The sequence below is a fragment of the Homo sapiens genome, chromosome 15, assembly GCF_000001405.40.
Source record: "Homo sapiens chromosome 15, GRCh38.p14 Primary Assembly".
NCBI classification, from domain to species: Eukaryota; Metazoa; Chordata; class Mammalia; order Primates; family Hominidae; genus Homo; species Homo sapiens.
Genome location: NC_000015.10, coordinates 27,216,366 through 27,229,775, shown reverse-complemented (window position 1 = coordinate 27,229,775; position 13,410 = coordinate 27,216,366). Strand labels below are relative to the sequence as shown.

Here is a 13,410-nt window from a genome sequence, read left to right as displayed (position 1 = left end):
GCTGGGCGCAGAGGCTCAGACCTGTAATCCCAGCACTTTGGGGGTCCGAGGCGGGCAGATCACCTGAGGTCAGGAGTTAGAGACCAGCCTGGCCAACATGGTGAAACCCTGTCTCTACTAAAAATGCAAAAATTAGCCGGGCGTGGTGGTGCACCCCTGTAATCCCATCTACTCGGGAGGCTGAGGTGGGAGAATTGCTTGAACCCGGGAGGTAGAAGTTGCAGTGAGCTGAGATCACACCACTGCACTCCAGCCTGAGTGACAGAGTGAGACCCCCTTCTCAAAAAACAAACAAACAACAACACACACACACACACACACAAAAAACCTAGGCACACAGACCAATGAAACAGAATAGAGAGCCCAGAAATAAGGCTGGCTGCACATCTATAGCATCTGATCTTTGACAAAGCTGAAAAAAACAAGCCATGGGGAAAACTGCCTATGCAATAAATGATATAACTGGGATATAACTGAGATAACTGGCTAGCCATATGCAGAAGATTGAAGCTGAACTCCCTTCCTTATATCATATACAAGAATCAACTCAAGATGGATTGAAGACTTAAATGTAAAACCCAAAACTATAGCAACCCTGGAAGACAACCTAGGCAATACCACCCTGGACATAGGAACGGGCAAAAAGTTCGTGACAAAGACACCAAAAGCAATTGCAACAAAGGCAAAAATTGACAAGTGGGATCTAATTAAACTTAAGAGCTTCTGCACGGCAAAAGGAAATATTAACAGATTAAACAGACAACCTACAGAATAGAATAAAATATTTGCAAACTATGCATCTGACAAAGGTCTAATATCTACCATCTATAAGGAACTTAATAAAATTTACAAGAGAAAAACAAAAAACCCCATTAAAAAGTGGGCAAAGGACATGAACAGACACTTCTCAAAAGAAGACATACATGCAGCAAACAAACATGAAGAAAAGCTCATCATCACTGATTATTAGACAAACGCAAATCAAAACCACAATGAGATACCATCTCACAGCAGTAAGAATGGCTATCAGTAAAAAGTTGAAAAATGACAGATACTGGCAAGGTTGCAGAGAAAAGGGAACCCTTATACACTGTTGGTGGGAGCATAAATTAGTTCAACCATTCTGGAAAGCAATAGGGGGATTCCTCAAAGAGCTAAAAGCAGAACGACCATTCAACGCAGCAATCCCATTACTGGGTATATACCCAGAGGAATATAAATCATTCCACCATAAAGACACATGCATGTGCATGTTCATTGCAGCGCTGTTCACAATAGCAAAGACATGAAATCAACCTAAATGCCCATCAACGGTAGACTGGATACAGAGAATGTGGTACATATATACTATGTAATACTATGCAGCCATAAAAAAGAATGAGAACATGTCTTTTGCGGGAACATGCATGGAGCTGGAGGCTACCACTCTTAGCAAACTAGCACAGGAACAGAAAACCAGATACCGTATGTTCTCATTTATAAGTGGGAGCTAAATGATGAGAACTCACGAACATGAAGAAGGAAACAACAGATACTGGGGTCTGCTTAAGGCAGGAGGAAGAGGAGCAGAAAAGACAACTATTGGGAACTGAGCTTAATACCTGGGTGATGTATTAATATGTACAACAAACCCCCAGGACATGTGTTTATCTATGTAACAAACCTTCACATATACCCCCAAACCTAAAATAAAAATTAAAATAACAAAATTATGTATTATTTCATTGGTGCTAAAATGTTTTATTTATTTTACATTTAGTGTGTTTTCACAGGCACTAAGCATTATCCTTCATTTAACCCTTTTGAGCATTTAAAAATTTTAAAACATGCACTAAGACAATTAAAAATATTTGTTCCTAATTATGAGCAAAAATAAAACCAGCAGTTTCATGTGATGTATCAAGATGATGAAGAAAAACATGCTGGGTAGGCTGGCATATTCAAATAATTGCCTTAGCATCTGTTATTTTTCAAAAGTAGTTATGGTGGAATAAGGTTTCCTGAAATTTCCTTATTTCCATGGGTAAAATCTAGTAATTAAATTTTGTAGATAAAAAAAAATTGCCATGGTTGTTTTCTTTTTTTTTTCTTTAGAAATAGAGTCTCACTGTCACCCAGACTAGATTGCAGGTGCAATCACAGCTCACTGGAGTCTTGAACTTCTGGGCTCAAGCAATCCTCCTGCCTCAGCCTTCCAAATAGCTAGGACTACAGGTGCATGCCACCACGGCCAGATAATTTAAAAAATATATATTTTATTACATTTTTTATTTTTTTGAGACAGAATCTCACTCTGTTGACCAGGCTGCAGTGCACTGGCACTATCATGACTCACTGCAGCCTCAATGTCCTAAGGCTCAGGTGATCCTCCCCCCTCAGCCTCCCAAGTAACAAAGGACTACAGGTGCACACCACCACGCCCAGGCCCAGGTAACTTTTCTGTTTTTGGAGGAGACAGGGTTTCGCCATGTTGTCCAGACTTGTCTCAAACTGAAATCCTGGGTTCAAGTGATCCTCCTACCTTGGCCTCCCAAAGCCCTGGGATTACAGGCATGAGCTACGAAGCCTGGCCTGTTTTTATTTCTTAATTAATTGTGTAATTACTACATGTTCTAATTTCTGTTAATGAACTTGATACCTTAGTGTTAAATCAACAACATTCTATGCAAGTTAAGCCTGAAGGACACTTAGAGACCTCACCTTACAGGCGGCTGGCTGTTTATGCACCTCATGTGAAACATGGTTTACTTTCCTTTTTCTTTCAGTTTTTTTTCCCTGATATCAACGTTTTATTAAAGGAGAATAAAATGTTCTTTGGGGATAAATAGTACTGCTTTAGGAGGCAGAGGCCTGGCTTTTTGTTTCTTTTCTGAAAGTGAGGGACAACGTATCCTAGGCCAAGTCCCTCTAGGCCTCATTTGTTCCAGAGAGTAAAGTGAGTACTAGATAAGATGCTGGCTATGGCCAAAGGGACAAGGTGCCTGCCAAGAAGTGGGGAGCATTCCTCTGTCCCCATCTCTCAGGGCCAGAGGGGGATCTGCTGGTCAGGAGAGTTATGTGCCCGTCACTCCAGGAACCAGAGACCTGGTGAATGCACTGGCTGAAAATGGCAGCCAACTGCCCCGCATAGTGCCCGTTTGCTGGGGGAAGCACCGGTGGCTCCTCTGAAGCCCGGGGCATCCGGATGGCAGCCCACAAGTCACCACTGAGTGGTGGCTCAGGCCGGGAGCAGGAGCTGTGCAGGGTTCTCCTCTCCACACATCACTTTGGCCAGCTTGCCTGGGGCCCAGCCAGTGTCCTGCATCAGCATGGGCCACGTCGTCTCTGAAGCTGGGTGAGGACACTGCGGTCCCACCCCCTCCACTTAGTGGCCGCGATTTGCTTTGACCTGGACCAAGCTCACCGGGAGTACAAAGCTCATGTCATCCTCCCTGACCACGCTCAGTCCCTGAGAGCACATTGTCCATGTCAGCAGCACCCGAGCCTGTCCCTTGAGTTCCTGGATGCTGCAGTGAGAGGTATGGACCTGTGCCCTGACAGTCACCTGAGGGCATCACCAGGGTGCCTGTGCATCCATACCCAGGAGTGCCAGGTCCTCATCCCTGGGCGCTCTATTCTCACCCCTCTGCCAGCTCAGGGCCCTACTGACTTTCAGCCCCTCTCTGCCCTGGCCTCAACCTCTTGCCTATTTGCATCAACTCACGCCTGCCTGGGACATCCCAGCACCAAAAGCATCCATGTTGCCATTTCTGTGCCTGTGCCTGCCTGCAAGACACATCCAGAGAAATAAATGCAAAAAGTGGTCATCATTTCCAAAGGGAGCCCCTAATCTGCCAATCATCTTAGTCACAGGCTCTGGGTCTCTCATCTGGGCTCCTCCTCCTCCCCTGGAAGCTCCGGCCATGTGGAGTCTGTTCTTAGGGCTCCCTCTCCATCTGCAGCAGCCCACATGCACTTCCTGTGGGCACCAGCTCTCTCAGCACCCTATTCTGATGGAGGACTTCTCGAAGACCAGGGCAGGTGGAGGGCACCTGTTAGAGGGCAGCTGCCAACTTTAGATGCATTTTACTAGACAGGCTACAAAGTCCCTCACACCATTCCTGGGCCATGCCCTCAATAGCCTGGTGGTGGGTAGGGAAGCAGGATTCCATGCTTGCCTCTTCATCCCTCTGGGTGGAAGGCAGGTGGGAAGCATAGAGGGAATGAACAACCCAAATGCCCAGCATTTCTCCCTTAGATTCTTCTTCAGACAGGAATGAAAAACATCATAAATCTTGATCTACAGGTAAACTTACTCCGACTTTATAAGTAAAATCGTCAGACTAAACAATCGGCAGCCCACCCTTGTAAGTAAAATCTTCAGACTAAACAATTGGCAGTCCACCCTAAGCACCGGCTCCGATTCTGCTACCTGCCTGCCTCCACGTGGAGGGGGGCGGGGAGGTGGCGGCTCCAGTTCTGCTACCTGCAGGGCGGTGTCTGGGAAGCGAAGGCAACTGTGCTTTAGTTTATGGGCACTGTCATGGGAAGGACAAGGGAAGACAGCTTTCAGGTATATCTGTTGTTTTCAATTAAAATTATAAAAGCCTGTGTACTACATTGTGATTATTTTAAGTCAGTCAACAGAATTAAGATACTTCAGTTAGGAAGAACAAATCATTTGATGATTAATCACCAAATAAATGTGATGACCACACCCTGGAGGAAGGAAGAAGGAACTCTAGTCTTTGTCAGAGCAACAGAATGAGGTGGGAGCTTCCAAGGAGGGTGAAGACTCTCCTCACCCCAGGCGGTGGGTGGCACCAGAGGCATCCACCATTCCTAGCAACTGAGTGACCATGTTCAGCTCCCCTCCTGGAAGGAAACCTAGGGTCCCATTAAATAATGCTTCCTACAGAAATGGCTATGAAATGCTTAGCCTTGTGAATGAAAGAGGAGCTCCATTAAGCTCACAAATAGCACTGCCAGAATGATAGATGGAATACACTAACGTTATCCTATATGCACAGCATGCAAGAAAGTTTCATTGCAGGGATGTGAAAATAATCAAATCTGTTACTTCTTAACCTTTCCATCTTAAATACCTGAGAGATCAAATACATTCTCATCATAAGTCGTGACTGTGGCAATTCCTTGCTAGGACAGTGAAAAGCATTGCAAGAAGAACCTGTTGAAATCCAGTCCACTCGCATTCAGGTGAGGAAACTGAGGCACAGAGAGGATGCCTTGCATGACATCACCCTGGGCTTTAACACAGACAACTGGAGGCTACCCCATCAGCCAGCACTGCCAGTGCAGGTGGGAGAAAGGGCAGGCCCAGGTGAGGACCTGCTTCCTGGGTAGCTGTGAGGGTCAGGTAGCATTAGACATTATTTAGGTTCTCAAAGAACCACTTCCTATGCAGCTGGTAAGGCTGGCTAACACTACTCAGCATTTCAGGCCTTCTAAGAAAACGGTTCTGCACTTAGGGAAACTAAAATCCAGATTTAAATTTAGCAGCTTGGTGAAAACATGATCTTTTCCTTTGAAAAATGTTTTACTTCTTAGGTGCTGGCACACACGGAAAGCACCGGGGATGAAAACATGCGGCACCCCCAAACCCCTGGCCTCAGCAAGGCCCTCACCGCCATGCAGGGAGCAGCCCGGGAAGTTGGAGGCCACTGGGAGCTCAGTCCACGGCTTCCACGTACATCACCTGGTACTTCCTCGGAGCTCAGTCCACACGCTCTGGGTACCCCACCCAGGTGCCAGGCTTCTCACCTGCATCTTCCCCTCTCCAGCTCCAGTGGGAGAAAGGGACTAAAGGGAAGGCAGACATACAGTGTTAAGGAACAGCACACCTTACACCCAGACAGGTTCTGAAATTTATCTCAAAGAAATGATCCAAAATACAGAAGAGATGGTAGAGGCAAGTGTTCTGTAACACAAAAAGGGGGGCAATCAGTGTGCCTGCAATGAGGACGTGGGTCAGGAGGGTCAGGGGCAGCACTCACTGGGTTCACCTGAGTGTTGCCCAGCAGGGGAGGCAAGAGCACAGTGAGTGTGAAGTGTGGCACGGGGGACAAGGTACTAGACACCTTTCCATACCCATCCGTCTGTCCAGCATCATTATCTGCACATCTAGTATTTTAAACATTTTTGCAAACCCTACAGAAATGTGAGAAGTGGCTGTGTTACAGTAGTAAGATTGTGAATCTTTTAAATATTATTTTCTTCATATTCCATTTTTTTTGTAATGCCTTTCTGAAGCTGGCCCAAGTGTCCCACATAAATATTTATGAGTTTTTAAGTAAACATAGAAATTGACCCTCTGGTCTTAAAACTTGAAGCTTACATTTGTCTCATCTGAGTTCCTTCCTCAGGAAATCCACCCTCCAGCAAAGAACTGAAACTCATCAGATTGCCGTATCCAGGCTCCTCCTCCCTGGCAATACTTGTCTCAGCGATTGGCTTTCTGTGCAGCATGCAAGGGACCTAGACAGAGTCCCTGGCCTTTTGGTAACATTTCTATTATTTCAGTAGAAAAAATATATTCTAATTATTAACTGCTCTCAGATTTTGACACAATAAACAAAATACTACAGTTGCTGATAAGAGAATTTCATCAGGGCTGACCCACATTAATATTGGATTAAAATGAAATGCTATAAAGATACAAATGGATGTTGCATCTTTAAATTATTCACAGCCTCACTTTTCATCCTTTTAAAATGAATGAATCATGACTTTGGATTATACCATATCTATCCTCAGAAAAGTAAATAAGAATCAACAAAACTTGTGAACAAAGGAAGAAGTGGGAGAATCTCTTATGCTTGAAAGTTGATTGTTTTCATTCCACTCTGGCCTCTGGATGTCCAAGTATGGCCAGGATTCTGAAGTGAGACTGTGTGGAGAATTAAGGCATGGCCACTCTGTGTGTTCCAGGGCCGTGGGGAACCATTCCCAGGAGAGTGCACTCACTGGACAGCAGCCAGTGGTCTCCCGGGAACACTGCAGTCGCCATGGCTGGAATCAGAGGACCATGATATCTGGTTTGTAATGAGTCATGTAGAGCATCTAATTAATGTAAGAATCCACTCCAAGACTTCTTAAGGTCTTAATCACACTCATGGGCACAGAGCTCCTCTCTTGGGGTTGTGCATTCTGTCCTTTGCCATTTCTAGTTCTTAGGTCATTGTTTACACTGAGAGACTAAGTGACTAAGTTCCTGCAATATGCACCCATGACTCAAGTACCCGAATCAAAGTACTTGGAATCCAAAGTCCATGTCCTCTACTAATTCACTTTAGAAAATAAGGAGTTTGCTTGTGGATCTTTTGCAGAAAGTTCCAGCATGAAGTCCAAGGTCCAAGAGGAATCATATTAATAGTAATTATAGGTAATACTTATTTGGTATTAAGTATCTCTCAGGTACTCTTCTAAGCACTTTGGATCTCTGTAAAACAACTTCTTCTGTTCCCCCATTTTGCATGTGGGTGCACTGCTGCCTTAGATGGCATTGCCAGTAAATGATGAAGCCAGCATTCAAGCCTGCGCAGCTGGCTGGGACGTCTCTAGCTGCTGACTCTCAACTGTGAAAGAGGAGAGGGGTGATTCCACCCAGGTGTAGCACTCACAAAGCAGAGAGCCATTTGGGGCATCTTCTGTGGAAGAACGTGCTAGAGATTTAAGGGACTAAGGTTCTCCAGGAAGAAAATGAGGAGGGAAGAGATAATGGGATTGAGGAAAATTTGCCTTTTGAAAGGCAGAAAGAATATATTAAAGATTTTTAAAAATAATGTAGAACTTCAGCTCAGGAAAACCAAAAGCACCTGCTATCCTCAAACTAAATGGATTTCAATCATGTAGCCCATTTGGGGACAATCATACAAACTCCTAGTGCATGGCTTTACCAAAAAAATATAGATAGAAAACAGCATCTTCATCATCTTTATTTGCCATCTGGATGAGCAAGGTCATTTTGTTGACCTTAAATTTTGAGTTCTTGAGAAACACAGGAAAGAAATGTTTTATGAAACTAAAACAGGCTACGTTGATCCAGACAAATACAGGAGAAATTATTAAGGGCCATTTAGACATTCTAGAAAACAGCTACTTGGTTGTAACAAGACAAAATTCACAGAGACAACTGGAAATATGATTTAGATCAAATGTTTGATAGGTAAGCCATGGGAGCCCCCCAGCCTTTGTACCCCAAGGGACTCTCCGGGTCTCTCTGAGAGACCACCTTGAGAATGGCATCACTTTAAACAGGCTAATTTTCTGTGTATTTTCAAACTAAAAATTAGCACCCATGCAGTCTACCTTAGTTTAGTTTGTGGTTGTTGATTGTTTTTGTTTTCTAATTTCCTCAACTCTTTTTCAAATCATGTGGTTATCAATATGCTTTGTGATTTAAAGTTAGAAAGTACAGTAACATAAACTAATAACGCATGGGGAACTGGCTGGTCTTCTCACTCTTTTGCAAGCAGATGGCAAGAGAATAAAACCTTGCTCTACCAGATCAGCACACTGTCCATCAAGGAGCATAGCAAATGTCTACAAAAAAGGTCACTGAAGAAAGGAGAAGCATCATGCTTCTGTCTCTCTGAACAGGTCGATCTCTCTCAAACGTCTCATAAGATTTTAATCATCTGTTTTGTAAAATGCCCCATCTAGTTAGAGCATGTTCTGACTCCCCTTAATTAATCCTATAAGCTTGAGCAATTTCCTCCCTGAATCTTGTTTATTAAGGACATCATAATATTTATTGAATAAAAGGCAGAAAAAAGAAAAAAAAAAGAAGCAATTCCAGGTTCATCCAATGGAAAGGTTGAATAATGCTTTGCATTATTGTCCATTCTGAAGATCGAACTGAATACTTGATCTGCGATTACTGATTACAGCTAATGAAGATGATGAAACAGGGCAGAGATCCCCCTTAGGGCCCTGCCACCCCACCCTCGGCATGGAAATAAAGGAAAAATCTTGAATCCTCAAGTTCTGAGTCCCTTCCAGGGAAATTCCAGGCACCCAGTGACCCCAGAGAAATAAATGGGCAACCCAATAGGCAAGAAGACAGTAGGAACTTAAGCAACAGTCTCCAAACAGGTTAGAGTTGCAGATGTTCTAGGGACTCTATAGAACATCTTAGCATATGTTCTTGAGTTGTTTTTCAGAAACCCAGGCCCCTACCAGATGGAAAATGCCCACTGCTGTCACATCACACAGTCCTCAGATAAGGGGGAAACGGGACTGAATTCTGACCACGTTCTTTGTTCTAAATTTCTTCCTGAGGAGCCTAAAGAAGGTCACGTCTACAGGCCATCACTCTTGCTAATCTGGCCCCGCATACTGTGGCTTACCCTGGTGACCTGACTCTGGTATAACACCACATGACAATCACCAGGGTTCCTTATCCTAACTACCATATGTTAAGGTCAGCCCTTAACATTCCTTTCTGCTCACCTCAAATCTTTTAGACAAAGCTTTGGTTCCTTAACCAACTATAAATAAAAGAATCTCAATCTATCTATGACCTATAAACTCCCACTTCAAGATATCCCACCTTTTTAGGCCAAACCAATGTACAACCTCCATGTGTTGATATAAAATTTTGCCTGTAACTTCTGCTTTCCTGAAATGTACCCTGCCTTTAAAAACTCTTGCCTGTAAGCCATCAAGAAGGTCAGGTTAGGTGTGAGCTGCCCATCCTCCTTGTTGGGTGCCCTGTGATAAATGCCTCTCTCTTGCTGCGAATCCCAGTGACAGTATTTGGTCTTGTCTGCATGCTGGGTGAGCCGACCCAAGTTCAGTTTGGTGACAAGAAGAAGCATCCCCTACTAACTAGTAAAATGACCACCCTCCTCTATTGCTGGTGAAGAATAAGGAGTCGTTCTTATGAAAAACAGTTGCACAAGTCCCTGCAAATACAGACACTGATCTAATTAATGCATTTCTGAAAACATGTGTTAAGTAAATCATACTAATTGTAGGCAGATGTTTTATAGGCAAGGCGAGGAGGGAACAGGCATTCAGTTTTCTGGACTCTGTAACCACTGATGCTCCAGTCCCTGGTGGCACTCCCCGTTAGGCACACCCAACAGTGGCCAGCCAGCAAGAGTCTGGGGGCTGCAGCTGGGAGGTTGGGCGCTGTCTGCCTGGTGGGCACAGAGGTGCTGGGCACAGGTGGGGAGGACTAAGGAGGGTGTGGACAGAGGGGTGGGATGCTGCATCCAGGGCCACAGGATCCATGGACATGACCACTGTCCTCGTCCTGCCCACCCTGAGCTGCCCCATCACAGGTGCAGGAGCTGGACTGTGGGGTGGAAAGAGGCAGACCCACAGAATGTGTCTCACTCAGTTCCACAACTTAAAAACCATAAAGGGAATGGAGGTTATCTTGCCCAGACCTTATCTGACTCAGAGTAAGGGAGGGATTGAGCCCAAATTGGACTCTGCCTACCTTGGAGGAGCACAAACAATGGTCCCAAACTAAAACCCAGCCCGCCCCAAGGCCAGCCCGCCCTGAGGCCAAGAGCACTGCACACATGAAAATACTGGCTTCTCCACAGTGTAGAGCAATAGAAATAGAAAATAATATGGCACAGGGTCCCCTTGGGACTTGAAATCTGCGAGAGAGAATGATAACTAGCCAAGAGATAGCATATCAAAGACTCTGGGGTCTCAGGGGAAGAAGCTAGGACTTGGGGCTGTAGCCAGAGGAGAAGGCCAGGTCAGAGCACGCGTGGTTCCATTGGGAGATTGGTGGAGAGAATGCTTGCCCTCCCAGACCCCGGTATGGCCAGGGTCATCAGGGAGAGAGGAGACCAGGGGGATTTGCATCCATTTGTTCATTTCCTCATTACTCTGTGATTCACAATAATGGAAGCTAACTTCCTCTCCGTGTGTGAATGTGAATGGATGCAGAGCCTTTATCATACTGTGGGGTGAGGAAAGGCAGACTCCTCTGGAAGGTGACCTGGCCACGGTCACCACCCATTACCATCAGTCGCAGCGGTTCAAAATCAATGACATCTGACTCCCGAGCACTATGCTAAACCTCATTTCCTTATATGAAAAACCCAGCACATAAGATTTGCATTGAGGGTAGGAATGAGATGTGAGAATCACTCTCAGAGCTCGGCCTCAGCAGGGACAGGAGGCATCCAGCCAGGACACCACACTCAACTGAGTCAGACAGATGGGAACCGAGTGGAGACGCTGAGCAACGGAAACACAAGCAGCAGCAGCCCTGGGACATAAGCCTCCATCACTGCTGAGTAAAGGGGTTCAGAAGACATCACCCCAAAATATGTCACTTTGGGATGTGGATTATTTTGAGCAAAAGGTCATTGAGAATCAACAAGTGCAGAAAGATGCCTTCTCAGAATTCCCCTTTTCTGAATAAGAGCATAAAATTCTGAGAAATGAGGATTGCCATAAAACCCCTCTTAAGGGAGTTTCCTGCCACGAATAAGACAGAACGTTGACAACAGGGCTGGGTGCTTTTGTCACACCTGTGACTCTTAACACTTTGGGAGGCTGAGGCTGGACAGCCTGGGCAACATGGTGAGACCTCATCTTTAACAAATATTAAACATTAAAAAAAAATTAGGCAGGCATGGTAGCACACATCTGTAGGTAGTCCCAGCTGCTTGGGAGGCGGAGGTGGGAGGATCACTTGAGGCTGGAGGGTGGAGGCTACAGCGAGCTGTAATCGCAGAGTTGCACTCCAGCCTGGGAGACAGCGCGGGAAGCTCCCCTGCAGTTCGGAGAAGTGGGGAGGTTCCCAAATTCAGGTCACCTCTGAAGGCGACAGACTGGCCCTGGTTCTCCTCCGCCTCCCTACTCTGTCCCTGCGGCTGGTTTGCAGTTCACCCTCCTCCCATCAATAACCAGCTCAGGGAGAGGCAGGACAGCCGTCCCGCTGGGAAGAAGGCACCTGTGGCGACTTGGCCTGTGTCTAACCTCAGGGTGTGCCCACACGTGACCTTGCCAGGAGAGGACAGCCAAGTCCTCTTTTTGACACTATGTGTGCCTATGTTGAGAGTAGAATGTTTTGCTTTCCTTCGTCCCTCTGTGTGTGCCAGTGACTCAAATCGTAGTGAGAGTGCACTTAACTATGATACTCGTTGGTGTGTAAAATACAAAGCACTACATGGAGTAAGAAAGGGTGAGATACAAAATTCTGAGGCCACAGCACGGAGCAGGATCCTGGAGGCTCCCTGCTGGGCTGGGCAGAGCTTTCATTTCTAGAACCTGGGGCAGATCCCACAGGACAATAAAAATGGACAAGACCATCAGAAGGTCCCATGTAGGGCCAGGAAGCCAGGGCAGTGGGGCCAGTGTCTCAGAAGCATGATACCCACTGGTGGGTGAAAAGAAACAGAAGAGACATCAAGCTCTCCGTCAGATACCTAGAGCAGTGTTGGCTGGGGCTTCACTTCCAGTCCACTGATCATATTACAAAGGGCCATAGGAGACACTCAAAAATTCCTTAATTGAAATGAATTGGTCATTTGGGTTGGTTCCAAGTCTTTGCTATTGTGAATAGTGCCGCAATAAACATACGTGTGCAAGTGTCTTTATAGCCCAAATGTCCAAGTGTCCAACAATGATAGACTGGATTAAGAAAATGTGGCACATATACACCATGGAATACTATGCAGCCATAAAAAATGATGAGTTCATGTCCTTTGTAGGGACGTGGATGAAATTGGAAACCATCATTCTCAGTAAACTATCGCAATAACAAAAAACCAAACACCGCATATTCTCACTCATAGGTGGGAATTGAACAATGAGATCACATGGACACAGGAAGGGGAATATCACACTCTGGGGACTGTGGTGGGGTCGGGGGAGGGGGCAGGGATAGCATTGGGAGATATACCTAATGCTAGATGACACGTTAGTGGGTGCAGCGCACCAGCATGGCACATGTATACATATGTAACTAACCTGCACAATGTGCACATGTACCCTAAAACTTAGAGTATAATAAAAAAAAAAATTAAAAAATAAATAAATAAATAAATAAAAAATAAAAAAAAAAAAAGAAATGAATTGGTCAGAAGTAATGGCAAGTTTAAAGCCTGGAAGATCACACTGGTAGAAACAGAAAAGGCATTCATCACAGCATGAGCTCTGCTTTGAGTTCCATTGAAATTTGGTGACTAACGATCGATTCCCAGGAGGGTGTTTCAGAAATGTGCGGTGGATTTGCCTTAAAAACACACGGATGGAGGTAAATGTCAGAATAAGCTGAGGATGTGCCTTGGTCATAAAGATGCTTTGCCTCTGCACTGCACCCAGGGCAACGGTCCTGCCTTGCAGATGTAGCTGTGGAATGCCCACTCCCTCTCCACTCCCAGCAGCTCTGCAGAGTGAACCCTGTGTGCAGAGGTGCTGGGCTGAGCTAGCTGC

At 45.4% G+C, this 13,410-nt stretch overlaps 1 protein-coding gene across 2 annotated transcripts in view, besides 1 other annotated feature; it reads right to left on the bottom strand.

Moving 5' to 3' along the window:
* GABRG3 (gamma-aminobutyric acid type A receptor subunit gamma3) overlaps positions 1-13,410 on the bottom strand; it is a 570,804-nt gene that overhangs the window by 312,209 nt on the left and 245,185 nt on the right. The gene's annotated exons all lie outside the window — the stretch shown is intronic.
* Positions 2,862-3,362: an enhancer, noted in NCBI's record as "H3K4me1 hESC enhancer chr15:27471561-27472061 (GRCh37/hg19 assembly coordinates)". NCBI's record gives its function as "activates a minimal SCP1, AML or CMV promoter by ChIP-STARR-seq in primed H9 embryonic stem cells {active_cell/tissue: H9 hESC(primed)}" and the evidence as "EXISTENCE:reporter gene assay evidence [ECO:0000049][PMID:30033119]".